The following is a 14,688-nucleotide window of genomic DNA, read 5'->3' as shown; positions in this document are numbered from 1 at the left end:
GAAGCAGGGCCCAGAACCCCCCACGGGCCCCCTGCACTTCCACAAAATCCAGGCGCCCAGAGTGGGAGGGACCGCCTCCAAGGACCCAGGCACTGCTCATCCAGCCAGGACAACAGACCAGGGCCTGGCAGCCACTCTAAGGATCTCCCGCCCCACTCCTGGCCACACAGGTTCCTCAAGCAAGTTCTTGGCAGCTGGCAAGCTGCAGAATTCATCTGCCGGGCTGGGGTGGCTTAGAGGGTGGGTGCAGATGCCTTGGCTTGGGTTTATGTGCCCAGCCTTAAGTATTCCCAGCCTTCATGCCAGCTCTTGAATCTCATGTACGAGCAATCCTAATCCTTTTTTTTTTTTTTTTTTTGAGACAGAGTTTTGCTCTGTCACCCAGGCTGGAGTGCAGTGGCACGACCTCGGCTCACTGCAAGCTCCGCCTCCCGGATTCACGCCATTCTCCTGCCTCAGCCTCCCAAGTAGCTGGGACTACAGGCACCCACCACCATGCCCGGCTAATTTTTTATATTTTTAGTGAGACGGGGTTTCACCATGTTAGCCAGGATGGTCTCGATCTCCTGACCTCGTGACCCGCCCGCCTCGGTCTCCCAAAGTGCTGGGATTACAGGTGTGAGCCACCGCACCCAGCCATCCCTAATCCTTTGTTAGTACAATGTCTTTCCCAAAGGCCTTTCCCATCCAGTGTCACCTTTGAACAGTGAGGGAGACAGGACAAATATCATTGCTGCTATTATACAGACAGGGCAACTGAGGCTAACAAAAGAAAAGTGACTTGTTCACAGCTGCCCAGCAGAGCCAGGAACACTCCAGGCCCAGCAGTCCCATGCTCCTTGTTATGGTCATGAGGATTAAATGAGAGAAGATACAAAAAGTACTGAGCTTGGTGCCTGGCACCTGTGCTCCCTAAATGTTATTTCGCCATGATTGTTATGCTTCAGTGAGGACACAGATCAGTGAGGGGAACACACATGCTCTCTCTGAGGGGCGCCAGCGCTATTCAGATAAGAGAGTGCTACAAGATGCCTTTGTTTGGCCAGGCGCGGTGGCTCATGCCTGTAAGCCCAACACTTTGGGAGGCCGAGCGAGGCGGGTGGATCACCTGAGGTCAGGAGTTCAAGACCAGCCTGGCCAACATGGTGAAACCCCATCTGTACTAAAACAAAAATCAGCCGGACGTGGTGGCACGTGCCTGTAATCCTAGCTACTAGGGAGGCTGAGGCATGAGAATCACTTGAACCAGGAGGCGGAGGTTGCAGTGAGCTGAGATCACACCACTGCACTCCAGCCTGAGTGACAGAGCGAGACTCCGTCTCAAAAAAAAAAAAGAGTGCTAGAGTCAGTGGAGCATGGAGAATGGCCTCATGGAGGAGGTGGGATTGTGTGGGACCTGAGGGAGAGGTGGCGTATGGACAGGGACACCAAAAAGAACCCATCCTGGGTTCAAACCCTGGCTCCCTGCCTCTCTGAGTGTCCCTGAGCAGGTGATGCAAGCTCCCTAAGCCGCCCGTAAGATGGAGGTTGGAGGGATGGGAGCGTGCAGGGGGTTGCTGTTGCAAGGAGTAAATGACATCCTCTATACACTCTCCTGGGTTCAGTTCATCCACATTCAGAAAATGGAAGTTATTGTTACTAGTATTATTTTGTGGCTGAGCAAAGCCTCCTAAAGACACGCCCTGGTGCCCTCCCTGACCCCAAACCTGAAAGGCTTTGAGAAAGCTAAGTGCAGGGCCCTGTCCCCAGGAGACAGAGGTGCAGCCCCAGGGAGCCCACTCCACGGTGTGGCCTGCCCATCAGGAGCAGCCAGGGGCTGGGAGGTGCAGCATATGTTATATAAACGAAGGGACATCAATAATAGATTAACCTCAAGGAAGTCCAGGAACATCAATCATCAATTAATTAAATGGCTCCAGGAGAGACAATGACGAGGGGCCCATTCAGGATGAATTCGAGGCAGCATCCTGTCTCACCTTACACAGCGGAGGGCCACCGTCCCGACCTCCACCCCAGAGCCGCAGGCTCCCTGGCCAGGACCGTCTCCAGGTGTAGGACTGGTTTGCAGGAGCAGCCCCCAAACACAGGTGAGGGCAAGCCCTGTTCTCCTCCATCCTCCTCCAGGCTCAGAGAACTCCCAAACACTGAAAAGGTTTTGATGAAACTTCCCAGAATAGTAACCTCCTGGGCTGAACTCAGGCAGGCGAAATTTCAAGGGGTAATTTGGTGAGAAAATGATCAAATGCCTGGAAATAAGTGCTGTGAACACTGGAACCCCCTCAGTGGGTCCTCAGGGATGGGAACGGCCTCGAGGGCAGCCCTGAAAGCCTGCCGTTCACACTCCCGCCCAGCACTGACGGGAGTCAGACCCGCTGAAAGTCAAGTGTGGGCAACACATTCTAGGCAGCGATTCCGAGGCCCAGCTCAGCTTCCTGGCCCCACTTCCCACCCCTTCCCCTCCTAGTGACCACACTGACCAATCTCATGATTTCTGTCTCCCTTCCATAATCAACCAGGCTTTGTCTCTCCCCTTTCCCCTGCAGAGTGGCCACTGCCCTGGTTCAAGCCCTCTGTACCTGGGCACCCCCTACTCTTGTCCCTCAGTACCCTGCTGCCATACCACTCTTCCTGGTGGGTGGCACCAGCCTCCAAACCCTTGCTCAGAACACTTCAGTGAATGCCCATGCGTTCACAGATTGGAAACCAAACCTTCAGCCCTGCCATCATGGCTCCTGGGGACCCAGCTCCAGCTCATTTTTCCAATCTTAGCTTTCACCACTTCTGTTGTATGCGCCCTACAGCACACAACAGACGGGCAGCAGTTTCCCCTCCCAGCCACCAGTCACCCCGCCAACCCGCCCCCGTTGCTGCCAGTTCCTCTACAAGCACCTTCCTTTGTTCACTCCCACCGGTACCCATGGCCCACATAAAAAGGCCGTGGCCACCCGAGTCTCCCCAACCTCCCTGGCTCGAGTCACTCTCCCTCCTTTGACCTCTGGCATCACTCATTTCTAGAAATTAACTATATCTTCTCAACAGATTTTAAGCAACTTGAGGTCAGAATCTACACCTTATAGGCTCTGGTATGACCACCTCATCTGCATGCCCTCACTAACCCCCAACTCACAGCAGGCGCTCAAGAAATAACTATCGACTATGTCCAAGTGGAAACATTCCTCAAGGCTAAGATATACTCTTGCTGATGACACTGCTAACAGATATGCAAGATTCTGTCTATCCCAAGGATGTGGGGAGCTAACTTCTTATCAAGTAATGAGACCCATTACATCTTCCCTACTGCTAATATATGCAGATCACGACATAACCACTTCTCTATGGAAAGGATTCCGGCCGCAAGAGCAAAAACATTTTTTCAGTGCGTGTTTTCATCAGGATCTCTCTACGCACCAGGCATTACCTGGGAGAATTCTTGCCATTCGGCTCTCGGAGGTTTTACTGTCCCCATCTTACAGATTAGGAAACTGAGGTGTGCCAGCATCCAATCTGGGTCCGTGAGGTTCCAGAGTCTGAAGTCATAACTACCCATGGGCTACAATGCTATCTTCTGTCATGGGGGGGAGGGGACTGTCCCCAGCTGACTTCCAGGTGGTTCAAGGAGGAGCATGGAAGCAGGCGTGTGAGACGCCCCCAGGTAGCACACAGAAGGGTGTGTGAGAGCCCCGCCTGCAGCCCAGCTTCCTTCTAAGGAATACTGAGAAAGCACTCGGCTCCTCATGTAAAGAGTCATAACATGAGGTATGAAACCCACCCTCTGCCCTCCCACAGCCTGAAGGCAGCCTCCTCCGACTCCCACTGTTCCCTCCTGCTGTGAAGAGCCCGGCAACCCCCAGCTCCGCACACCCACCAACACCAGGCCAGCCAGACACGGGAGCCTGCGCGCTCCCACACCACCAGGCGCTCCACACCCCCTCCGCCCTCACTTCCCACAGAAACACTTATGGGCACAAGCAACTTTACACACGTGCACTCCCCGGGCAGCCCCGCGGTAATAACAGCCCCATCCCCATCTAGAGGACTTAGGCGTTCCTGCCAAACACCCCATGAAAACACCCTTACCCGTGGTCACACCAATCCCCTCCACGGCATCTCCCTGGACTCCTTCCTCAGCAGCAAAGAGGTCCTCACAGATAAGGCAGTTTCCTGGGTCTTTCCTGCCCACACACACAACCCACGTCCACACCCACACTCACGCTTCCCATCCAACCCAGAAAGACCACGCCCAGCCCAAGTCAGTATCAGAAACAAAAAAAGAAAATCAAAATAAACCATTTTCAGCCCTATCCGCTGGGGAGGTAACCGCATCCTGCAATGTCCTGGGCTCCGCGGTTCTAAAAGATTTATCTTCCTCTGACCACATGCTCATTGATATTTCCCCCAGCGCTACTTGCCCAGTCCACTGGAGTGTAATGTAAAGCTATTCCGGTGAGAAATTGAAATCACAGAGTGATGGGCCAACAGGTGATTAAACACTGAGGTTCCCCTCTGGTCTCGAGGAGAGGGACTGGGGGAGGAGTGGCTTCCAGTGACAAGCTGTGCCTTCAGCTGCAGCCTTCTGGCCCGCTGCTGTCAGCTCTGGTCCAGCATCCTCTGGCCACAGATGCCTGGCTCCCCGGCACCCCTAAAGCACAGCAGCCAGGCACTGTGATTTATGGGGCAGCTGAGGAATTGCCAGGAGCTGAGGAAAGCAACTTTTAGAGAAACATGGACAAGGAAAATGGGAATATGACTGGGGACCAGAGTTGAAATATTGTAGCTCCAGGGAGCTGCTTGCCCTCGAGGTCCACTCCTAAGTGACTGGCCCCCTGCCTCAGCTGGAACTTACTCGAAATCAGCATCTGTGCACAATGACAAGGGTGCTAACCTGGCTGGGCTCCCTGCTACCCCAAAACCCCAGGACTGGGAAGAAAGCTCAGCTCTCCTTTTGGGGAACAGAGGCCAACTCCTCCTCTCAGTGTCTTCAGATCTGCCCTGCCTGCCACTCAGCTCTGGTGGGCAGTCCCAGCATCCCAAGCAGAAGGCAAAGGGTGGCTGAAAAGGGCTCCTGGAGCCCCAAACCATAAGGCTGAGCCACAAATCAGAACAAACAGGAGGAGGTGTGGAGGGTGAGCTGAGGAGACTTGAATACTGAATATTCACAACAGGGAGGCTGTAGGCTTCCTCCTTAATGGACTCTGCACTTAAGAGAGCTTTCCAGACATGAGCTGAAGTGCCCAGCAACTCCTCGGGGGAGGTATGAAGCACTGCAGGGAGCGGGTGAGACAGGCCATGGATACCCCTCAGACCAACATGGGAATGACCAGGGAAGCACCTGCAATGCTGGACAGTGTCTGCGTGGCAGCTACGGGGACAGGGCGAGTCCATAGCATGGAAAAGTCAGCTCACAACCCTGGGTCTGGGAGGGCCGTGTCCTCCTTCCACCCACATGGCTTGACACTGCAGCCTGGGCACAGGGCAAAAACTTTCCTCGGGGAGCAAGGATGTGAAACAGGTTGCTGGCTAAGGCAGACACCCGCATGGAATGCTGAAGAAACGGCCTGGGTGAGAGAAAAACAGGACTTCCAGCGCCATGGGGCAGGGTCTGCAACTCAGGCTCTGCAGCTTGTTGTCGGGAATTAGGCTCCTGGTGGCAGAGAGCAAAGCACTGTGCAGCCACCCTCATCCTCCCCACCTGGGAAGGCACTTCAGCCAGAAGTGGGGCCACATTGGGAGAGGTGCCACACCTGTCTGCCCTCAGAGGTGCCTGTAGCCCCCTTTCCTTTCCCCTATGTGTCTGAGGGCATCCTCCACACCTCCCCCCCCCGTCCCCCTGCCATCCAGCCTCAACCTCCCGCAGAACCATCCAGACCTGAGCCACATCGATCTGTGGATGCTCTGACCCACTTCATTTCCTTCAGGCCACAGCCCAAAAGACGCTGATGTGACTGCTCCCCACCCCCGTTCTCAGAACCCAGAGCCAAAGGAAATTCTCCAGAGAAAACACACACACTTCCCAAGTCTTCCTCCCACACAGGTACCCTAGATCTGTCAGCCACAGACACCTCCCAGACCTACCCTGGCAATGAGGCACGTCTGCTGCCCAAGCAAAGTGCTTCCTCCTGCTTGGGCCACTCCTGCAGGACTTCACAGCTGCCGGGGCCATGCTCAGGACTGTCCTCTGGAGACCGGGGGCCTGGTTCCAGCTCAGCAGCTGACTCACAGTGTCAACAGATCCCACTTGCCCCCACCGGGAGCATGTGCGCTCAGGGCCTCTAATTCCCTATGACAGGCCCTCAACCTTCCGGCTCCCTTCCTCCCAATCACATCCCGTGCCACCATTTCCTATGGCTCCTGCCTCCAGCCCTGGTCTCTTTACTTGATGAGACTCTCTGACCTTTGTACAGTCTTTCGCTGTTTGCAAAGTGTTTCCACGTGCACCATTTCCTTTCATTCTTTACTACCAGACCACCATGTGACATGCCTTGATTGGTGAAGTCACCTGCTGAAGGTCACACAGCCAACACTGGAATTAAAGTGATATGGCTCCAAAGGCATCGGACAGTGCTCCGGTTATAGGGAACTCATCAGCATCTCCAAGCACCCACCTTGGCAATTTGGCGACCACCTGCCACCCTACCCTCAACATCATCTTTTTGGACTCATAAGTGCCTTCCCCAGCACAAGCTCAACCCTGTGATTCTTCTACCACTGATCCCACTCCCCCAAGAGATCCACAAAGAACTGAAGATTTCCCCTACACTGTAAGACTTCTCTAGGAGGAGCTGCAAATTGCTTCTCTGTAAAGTAAGGCACTAGGTGATGCTGAGTGAGACCTTCACCCAAAGCTTCCCAAAGGACTGGTGAGAGCAAACACAATCTCAGCGCAGATGGAGGGGTTTTAACATAGGAGCTAAGCAGAGAGGACAGACAGAGCCCTTGGAAAGGAATTTAAGCCTGGGGGTGGGAGTCCCGGTGGCCCCAGCAGATTCCCAGTGGCTGCAGAATCATCTTTCAAGCATACCCCAATCGATCCAATCCTCTGGACCCAAAGGCTCCCCAGCATCAAAGAAGAGAGGCAACTCCCAGATACCCTGGAGTGAACCCATCAACCCAGGGAGAAGGCAGGACCCCGTGACTACAGATAGATGGTGCGCCATACCACTCCCTCACTCGCTGACCCGGGTTACCTCTTGGTCCTGCTTGCTTCTCAGGACATATTCTGGGACACCGATCACCACTGAAAATCATCCACCCCTCCCTTCATTCCCAAAGCTAGATGAAAAGCTAGATGAATGGTTCTCTCTACCTTAGCCCAGGACAACGGTAGTGCCTGGAAGGTCTCTATCTGGGTTACCATCAGGGCCCTTGTGGTAGAAGCTTCTCCTGGCATCTCTTGTTTATGCCCATTATAAAGGACACCAACCTTCTCCCAGCCTTCTGCCCTCCTCAGTCCAGTGTACCCAACAGGCATTAAAACTGGACCCCCATGACAGAGGCAGTGTCCCCTTCATCGCCCGTGAGGAAGGATGGGCATTTACCCTTCCCATTCATCAGGATGGGAGGGCCACGGACTCCCCCCGCGGCAGTGCCGGGTAGCCCCCCGCACCACACCGTGCCAAGGCCCTTTCTCACAGTCATGCCAGGAACTCTAGCCATGCTGAGAACACCAATTCTTCAAGCCCCCAGTGCTATCACCCCAGATCATGTCAAGCCCAAGGCCAGAACCATCCCAACACCCAAGCAATGGCAGCACTTCCTCACACCCATGCTAGCGGCACCACCATGCCGGCACGAGCTGGCCACCTATCCCATAACCAGTCCGAAGGCCGTGCCCATCACCTACCTGTGCAGACAGCTGCACCACCTCACACCTGCGTGGCCACCACCGCACCAAGGTGGAGGCGAGTCTTCTGAGACCCGTTCCAGGAAAACCACGCCGCCTGTGCCGGACCCACGTTGCCCACGCCCGTGCCACGCGTGTCACCATCCCCACGCTGGTGCCAGGGGCTCCACAGACCTCACACCTGCCACGGGCGCGCGTGGCAGCTGCAACTCCGCCCGCCGACCCGTCGGGCCGGCCACCGCGCGCCCTGGACACTGCCCAGCCCGCCGCGCCGCTCGCACCGCGCCCGCGCCCAGGACCGGCCCGCCGCGCCGGAGGCCCCCCTTACCTCCCGCCCGCCGCAGGGCTCGGCCCGCCGCCGCGACCGCCACCTCCATCCTGGGCTCCCCAAGGCCCCGATTCACTAACGCCGCTTCCGCAGGGCGCCGGCGCCGGCGCGAAGGCCGCCTCCGCCCCCCGGGGGACGCTGCGTCCTTTACGTAAACCCCTCTCCGCCGCCAGCGGTGACCATGGCGACGGTCGTGGGGAGGCAGCGCCCCCTGGCGCCAGGGAGGGGAGCGGCGTCGAGGCCAGGGAGAGCCGAGTCTTCCGCGGGCGCCGGCCCTGCGCGTGGGGGCGGTGGGCGCCTGGCTCAGGCTCGGCTGGGGTCCCGTGGGCGGCCGGGAGGGGCTGGACTGGCCGCGATGCGTGCGGGGAAGGGAGCCGCCTGGGTGCCTGCCCCTCCTTTAGGTCCCTCGTGACCAGTTTTAGCGTGGGAGAGGGAAAAAAGGAAGTAGGATCACTGGAGAACTGGTTCATTTGTGGGGAGGAGAGAGACGGGTCCCACCTCCTCGGGGTGACTGAACTCTGCTTGAGAAGTCAGAGCATGGCTAGAGTTCCTGGCGTGACTGTGAGAAAGGGCCTTGGCACGGTGTGGTGCAGGGGTCTACCCGGCACTGCCGTGGGGGGAGTCCGTGGCCCTCCCATCCTGATGAATGGGAAGGGTAAATGCCCATCCTTCCCCACGGGCGACAGAGCCCGTGGGTACCCTGGGTACCCCCTCCTCCCTACCACCCCCCCACCCCCCACCCCTACCCCCGTTCCCAGTGCCCAGCATCGTGCCTGGTCTCCAAAGGGGTTTACTTGGTCAATTTTGAATTTCTGGTAAATGAAGAAAACCGCCCCTCCTGTTCCCCTTCACGCCCTTTCATTCACCGTAAGTCGCTTACACCTCCCTGGGAGCACTGTGCTGAACTGGGGGAGTGGAGCACAGAGAGGAGCAGAAGGCGGGCCCTGACTTCAAGGAGCTCATTCTGCTGGGGAGGAGACGCAGATGGAGGGGGTTTTAACACAGAAGCTAAGCCGAGAGGACAGACAGAGCCCTTGGAAAGGAATTTAAGCCTGGGGATGGGAGTCCAGTCTGCAGGTCGGGATGACTCAGCTGGGTCCCAAAGATCCAGTAAAGATTCATCAGAGACAAAAAGGGGAAGAACGTTTTCTTTCAGGCAAGAGAAGTGCCTCTAAAATGTTTCCTAGGCCCTGTTGCCACCCCCAAAATCACAGTGATCGCGCAGTTCAGTAGAAGTGGGAGCCATAGGTGAACAAGGAGGTGTGGGTAGTGGGGTGCCCGGCTTGAGCAGAAGCCTCGGTCTGAAAATTACGTGGACATTTGGGTTGGAAATGAGACTGTGAGGCCAGGACTGCCTTTTATTGAAGCAGATGGAGCCACTTCTGGAAGGAGTTCTGTGTTACCTGTGATTATTTAGAAAGCAAACTCACGTAGGTAACAAGGAAAATGAGGAGTGGGCGCATATACCCAGTGGGGCACCTCAGGGGATTCAAGGAGGAGTTGAATTCCTCAAGGCTCAGGAAGGGCAGAGATCAGGGGAGGCTTTAAGGGACAACTGTAGCAGTATCAGTTTAGGGATCTTCTTTCTAGATCATTGCCATTAATCAGAATCAAAACTGCCAGATTGGATGTCTCTTGGTTCAAAGTTCCCGATTCCCAGAAAAAAAGAATCTTATTAGTCCAGATCAGGCCACGGTCAATCAGCTATGGCCAGGGCAGAAAGTGCTTTGTGATACAAACATGTCAGTCCACTTTTCCCCGTTGAGAGACACTCCCAGAGGAGGAGAATCATGACCTGAACAGCCAGTCCAAAGACTGTCGGCCAGGGGCGGTGGCTCATGCCTGTAATCCCAGCACTTTGGGAGGCAGAGGCAGGTGGATCACCTGAGGTCAGGAGTTCGAGACCAGTCTGGCCAACATGGTGAAACCCTATCTCTACCAAAGTACAAAAATTAGCCTGGCATGATGGCAGGTGCCTGTAATCCCAGCTACTCGGGAGGCTGAGGCGGAAGAATCACTTGAACGTGGGAGGCAGAGGTTGCAGTGAGCCGAGATCGTGCCATTGCACTCTAGCCTGGGCAAGAGAGCCAGACTCCATCTCAAAAAAAAAAAAAAAAAAAGGCTGTCTACTACGGATCCATCCCTTAGCTGTCCCATGTACACAAACTCACATGTGTCCATGTGCACACATGTGTCCCGACACACGCCAGTCCTTCTTCCCATTCCTCCAAAGTTGTCTTCACCAGACAAGTACCAACAGTCACCTTCACACTTGATGTCATGAGGCTACTATTATTTCAAGATCTTCAAGGTGATTGATCCCATCTGGTCATTTAACTGAATTAAAGGGTTACTTTTACCATCACCAAATCCTTTGAACTCTTGCTACTCAGAGTGAGACATTGGCACCACCCAGAAGCTTAACGGGAATGCATAATCTCAGGCCCAAGAATCTCAGGTTGGCAACAAGATTCCCAGGTGATTTGAATGCACATGAAAGGCTGAGAAACACCACTATTATAAATGTTAGGTGACCGGGTGCGGTGGCTCACACCTGTAATCCCAGCACTTTGGGAGGCTGAGGCGGGTGGATCACCTGAGGTCAGGAGTTCAAGACCAGCCTGACCAACATGGTGAAACCCCATCTCTACTAAAAATACAAAAATCAGCTGGGCATGGTGATGGGCACCTGTAATCCCAGCTATTCGGGAGGCTGAGGCAGGAGAGTTGCTTGAACCCGGGAGGTGGAGGTTGCAGTGAGCCGAGATCCCGCTACTGCACTCCAGCCTGGGCAACAGAGTGAGACTCCGTCTCAAAAAAAAAAAAAAAAAAATAGGCCCAGCGTGGTGGCTCACGCCTGTAATCCCAGCACTTTGGGAGGCCGAGGCAAGCAGATCACAAGGTCAGGAGTTCAAGGCCAGCCTGACCAACATGGTGAAACCCCGTCTCTACTAAAAATATAAAAATTAGCTGGGTATGGTGGCGCGCGCCTATAATCCAAGCTACTCAGGAGGCTGAGGCAGGAGAAGCGCTTGAACCTGGAATGCGGAGGTTGCAGTGAGCCGAGATCACGCCACTACACTCCAGCGACAGAGCAAGACTCCCTCTCAAAAAAATACATACACACATAAATGTTAGGTGAAAGGAAAAGGAAAGATAACAAAAACATTTTCAAATTGTGATTCATATTTTCTTAAAGGGGGAAATGGTCAACTATTTAATCTTCAACAACTCTAGTAACAAGCAAGGAAAGACAGGGAGGGACTGCAGTCTTTATTTTTGCAATTGGTCACAAACTCCTAGAAGGTACTAGCGAATTCCATCCTCTAACGCCTTATTTCTGTGTTCTGCAGGTCTCCTGCCCGATTCTTATTCAGTCAGGATTCTTTGCCTGACAGACTGACCTAAGCCTTCTTCTTGAGGGCTGAGCCATGGCTGTAAGGCATCTCAGCAGGCTTCCAGCAACATCGACCACTGGGTACAATGATGTAAGAGGTCCTTCACGGGGGTGTGGGTTCTACCCATGGTGTGTGTGTGTGTGTCTGCGTGTGTCAAAGATCCCCAGATGGCCAGTCCCAGTTTCCAGTGGAACCACAATGGTGCCTCCTGATGGATTTGCTCCTCCCTTCCATTCTAAAACCACCAGACACACAATCAAAACCCAGAGCCGCCTGCACAGGAAACAGGCATTTTGATGAGAGAGAGGGGCACCCTCATCACTTCTATTTCTAGTTCCAAGACGCTTTGGAAGAAACATATCAGAAAGGGTGGCTGTTCCAGAGCACACACTCCCCACAGACCTGACCTGGTCCAGCTACCAGAGGTGCATCCTCTCCACGCCAAAGCCATGCCTGGCCTTCTCTCTGAGCACCTTCAGGCCCAGTTCTGACAGCATTTGGCCAGGTGTCTTTGGAGATAGTCACCAGCACTGTGAGCAGACAGGAGCTGGGGAGGAGGACAAGAGCGAGGGCACCAGAACAGACAAGTCGTAGACTGGTCCCAGTCCAGCTGTCAGGCTGTGCTCCCTCCGCTCTGTGCCAAGTTCCCACTCTGGCCTCAGTTTCCTTCTGAGTCCCAGTGGGGATAATAACATGACTCTTCCTCCTGCGGGGCTGTGCAGATTAACTAATTAATGAGTGTGACAGCGTCTGCATCCACAAAGGGGCTGATTAAATGCTGAGTGTTGTTATTAGTAGCTGTGGCAGTTGTGTGACAGGCAGTTGGCTGGAGACAGATCTGCCCCCTGCCTCCTCCCCATGGAGGACCCAGATGGAAGGGTCCTCCATCTGCCCCATGCTCCGCAAGCCGAACATCTTGCAAGACAAAGCCAGGATGATTTTTAGCACCCCAAAGACAGCATAGAACTTTTGCGCATTTCCCCTGTGCTGGAATGTGAGTCACAGCCGAGCTTCATAGTGTAATCTATCTCCGACAGCTGGCACAGCTGTACCCTGCCCCAACTCAGCTCCCAGCAGCTGCAGGATGGGATGGCTTGGTCAGTAACTGCAGTAGGGTAGAGCTGCCTGCAGAAAGACAACTGCAGAATTCCTAAGCTGAGCACCATCCCCTGACTGTATTGCCCTGTGGAGGCAGGGATTGAGTGACCACCTTTCCTCACTGCCTGAGATAGTGGGAGCCAATATGACACCTTGGCTAAGCAGTCAGGGGAATTCAAAGCATGCAGGGTTTTAAAGTATAAAGTATCTGCTCATGGCCGAGGGAGATATAGTGACTATATTTTAGCTTGGCTGCAGGGTATAGGATAACTGGATGAAATCACAGCTCTGGGGCATGATAGCTTTAGCCTAGCTTATTCCCAGACGTAGAAAGTCCAGAGAGGCCTCCGAGCTAAACAGTGAATGTGACTTTGCAATACACAGCCCTGGATCCCGTAGTATGTGTGAGGTCTGTTGCCCACCCCTCCGATGCTGGGTCTTCCACCCTTGAATGTGATGAGTGCTGGTTCCCACCCTGAGTCCTGATGCATCTGACGAGGTGGGTAGGAAGGAACTGCTGCTACCAGGTAAATAAGTCTGTCTCTGACAACCGCGGGGAATGTTGTTTACCCAAATAGCACAATCTCAGCCTGTCTGGGGAGGCCAGAGAAAAGCTCTGGAGGCTAGGCTGCAGACTGTCACAGAGGGAGAAATTAGCCAGTTGCAAGGTCTAGCAAATCCATGTGAAATGGACCTCAGGACACCTGGAGTCAGCTCTGGATCACCAGGGCTTCTCCTAGTAGGATTTCAGACCTTCTTGCTTCTGAAAACAGCGACTTTCCCTGCACTGCCAGAACTTTTCTCTCCCTGCCTTCCTTGTCCCTCCTGCTATAAGGTAACATGAATGGATCACAGGACCAAACAGGCTAGAAGTGGGAGCTGGACCACAAGGCTTTGCTGGTAACCCAGGGGTTAAAATGTTACCCACCACCAAGAGACGAGTTGTTCTCTCTTGCCAGAGGGGCGCCTACAAGCCCCTATCTTTTACCTGGTAAACACAATTTTCAGTCAGAATCTCAAAAATCTGTGTGGTAGTGGTTGTAATGGGGGTGGTGACAGAGGAGATGCTGGAGGTGGTGACAGTGATGGCAGTTTGGTGGTCATGACAAGAGGGAGGAGAACAAGGACTGACAGCTTCCTAGGGGAAGCTCTGGGAGTTTTTTCCACCTCTGCCTAATCCCCATTAGTTTGGGTATCACCAGCACTTCCCCTGAAATGCCCAGCGGATTGGGAGATCCTTGCATCTCATTAAGCAGCCTATTTGTGTTTGCTCGCTGATGGGTATGGTAGCAAATAGTTTTTCTCCTTGGGGCACTGGGGAGCTATGGGAGAGTAAACACAGATGTCTCAAAGGAAAACGGGTATTTACTGACTAGTGTGATTCATCTGCACTTTCTGGACACCAACAACCAGAGGAGAGAGTCTGTCCTCTTGAAGGTGTTCCATCCACCCATTCACCCACACACTCATTCTTCCCCCTACCTTTTCACCCATCTACCCATCTACACACCTGCACACCCACCTACCCATCTGCCCACCCAACCATCCACTCACCTATTCATCCACTCAGTCTGTTCATTCACCCATGCACCTACCCATCCACTCATTCACCCATCCATCCATCTGTCCATCTATTCATTCATCTATCCATCCATCCATCCATCCATCCATCCATCCATCCATCCATCCACTTATCCATCCATGCACTCATCCATCCATCCATCCATCCACTCGCCTATGCATCCATCCACTCACCTATCCATCCATCCATTTATCCATCCATCCATTCATCCATCCATCCATCCATCCATCCACCTATCCATCCATCCATCCGCCTATCCATCCATTCACTCACCTATCCATCTATCCATCCATTTATCCATCCATCCATTTATCCATCCATCCATTTATCCATCCATCCATGCATCCATTCATCCATCCATCCATCCACCTATCCATCCATCCATCCATCCATCCATCCATCCACCTATCCATCCATCCATCTATCCATCCATCCATCCATC

At 54.0% G+C, this 14,688-nt stretch overlaps 1 protein-coding gene across 5 annotated transcripts in view, besides 2 other annotated features; it reads right to left on the bottom strand.

Moving 5' to 3' along the window:
* The window catches only part of DAGLA (diacylglycerol lipase alpha), a 66,611-nt gene extending 58,329 nt beyond the window's left edge, over positions 1–8,282 (bottom strand). For 2 of the 5 annotated variants that reach the window (NM_006133.3, XM_047427544.1), the window contains exon 1: positions 8,169–8,282. The gene's annotated coding sequence lies outside the window, so the exon portion shown is untranslated. Of the gene's footprint in view, positions 1–4,077; positions 4,133–6,072; positions 6,171–7,840; positions 7,862–8,168 lie in introns of those variants that run through there. The other 3 variants (XM_047427543.1, XM_047427541.1, XM_047427542.1) reach the window with 3 other exon arrangements.
* Positions 4,737–5,410: an enhancer, noted in NCBI's record as "H3K4me1 hESC enhancer chr11:61450735-61451408 (GRCh37/hg19 assembly coordinates)". NCBI's record gives its function as "activates a minimal SCP1, AML or CMV promoter by ChIP-STARR-seq in naive H9 embryonic stem cells {active_cell/tissue: H9 hESC(naive)}" and the evidence as "EXISTENCE:reporter gene assay evidence [ECO:0000049][PMID:30033119]".
* Positions 5,411–6,085: an enhancer, noted in NCBI's record as "H3K4me1 hESC enhancer chr11:61450060-61450734 (GRCh37/hg19 assembly coordinates)". NCBI's record gives its function as "activates a minimal SCP1, AML or CMV promoter by ChIP-STARR-seq in naive H9 embryonic stem cells {active_cell/tissue: H9 hESC(naive)}" and the evidence as "EXISTENCE:reporter gene assay evidence [ECO:0000049][PMID:30033119]".
* Positions 8,283–14,688: the final 6,406 nt, after the last annotated feature.

Source organism: Homo sapiens, chromosome 11 (assembly GCF_000001405.40).
Source record: "Homo sapiens chromosome 11, GRCh38.p14 Primary Assembly".
Lineage (NCBI taxonomy): Eukaryota > Metazoa > Chordata > Mammalia > Primates > Hominidae > Homo > Homo sapiens.
Note: the sequence above shows the minus strand (reverse complement) of the source record. Positions and strands in the feature narration are given on the sequence as shown.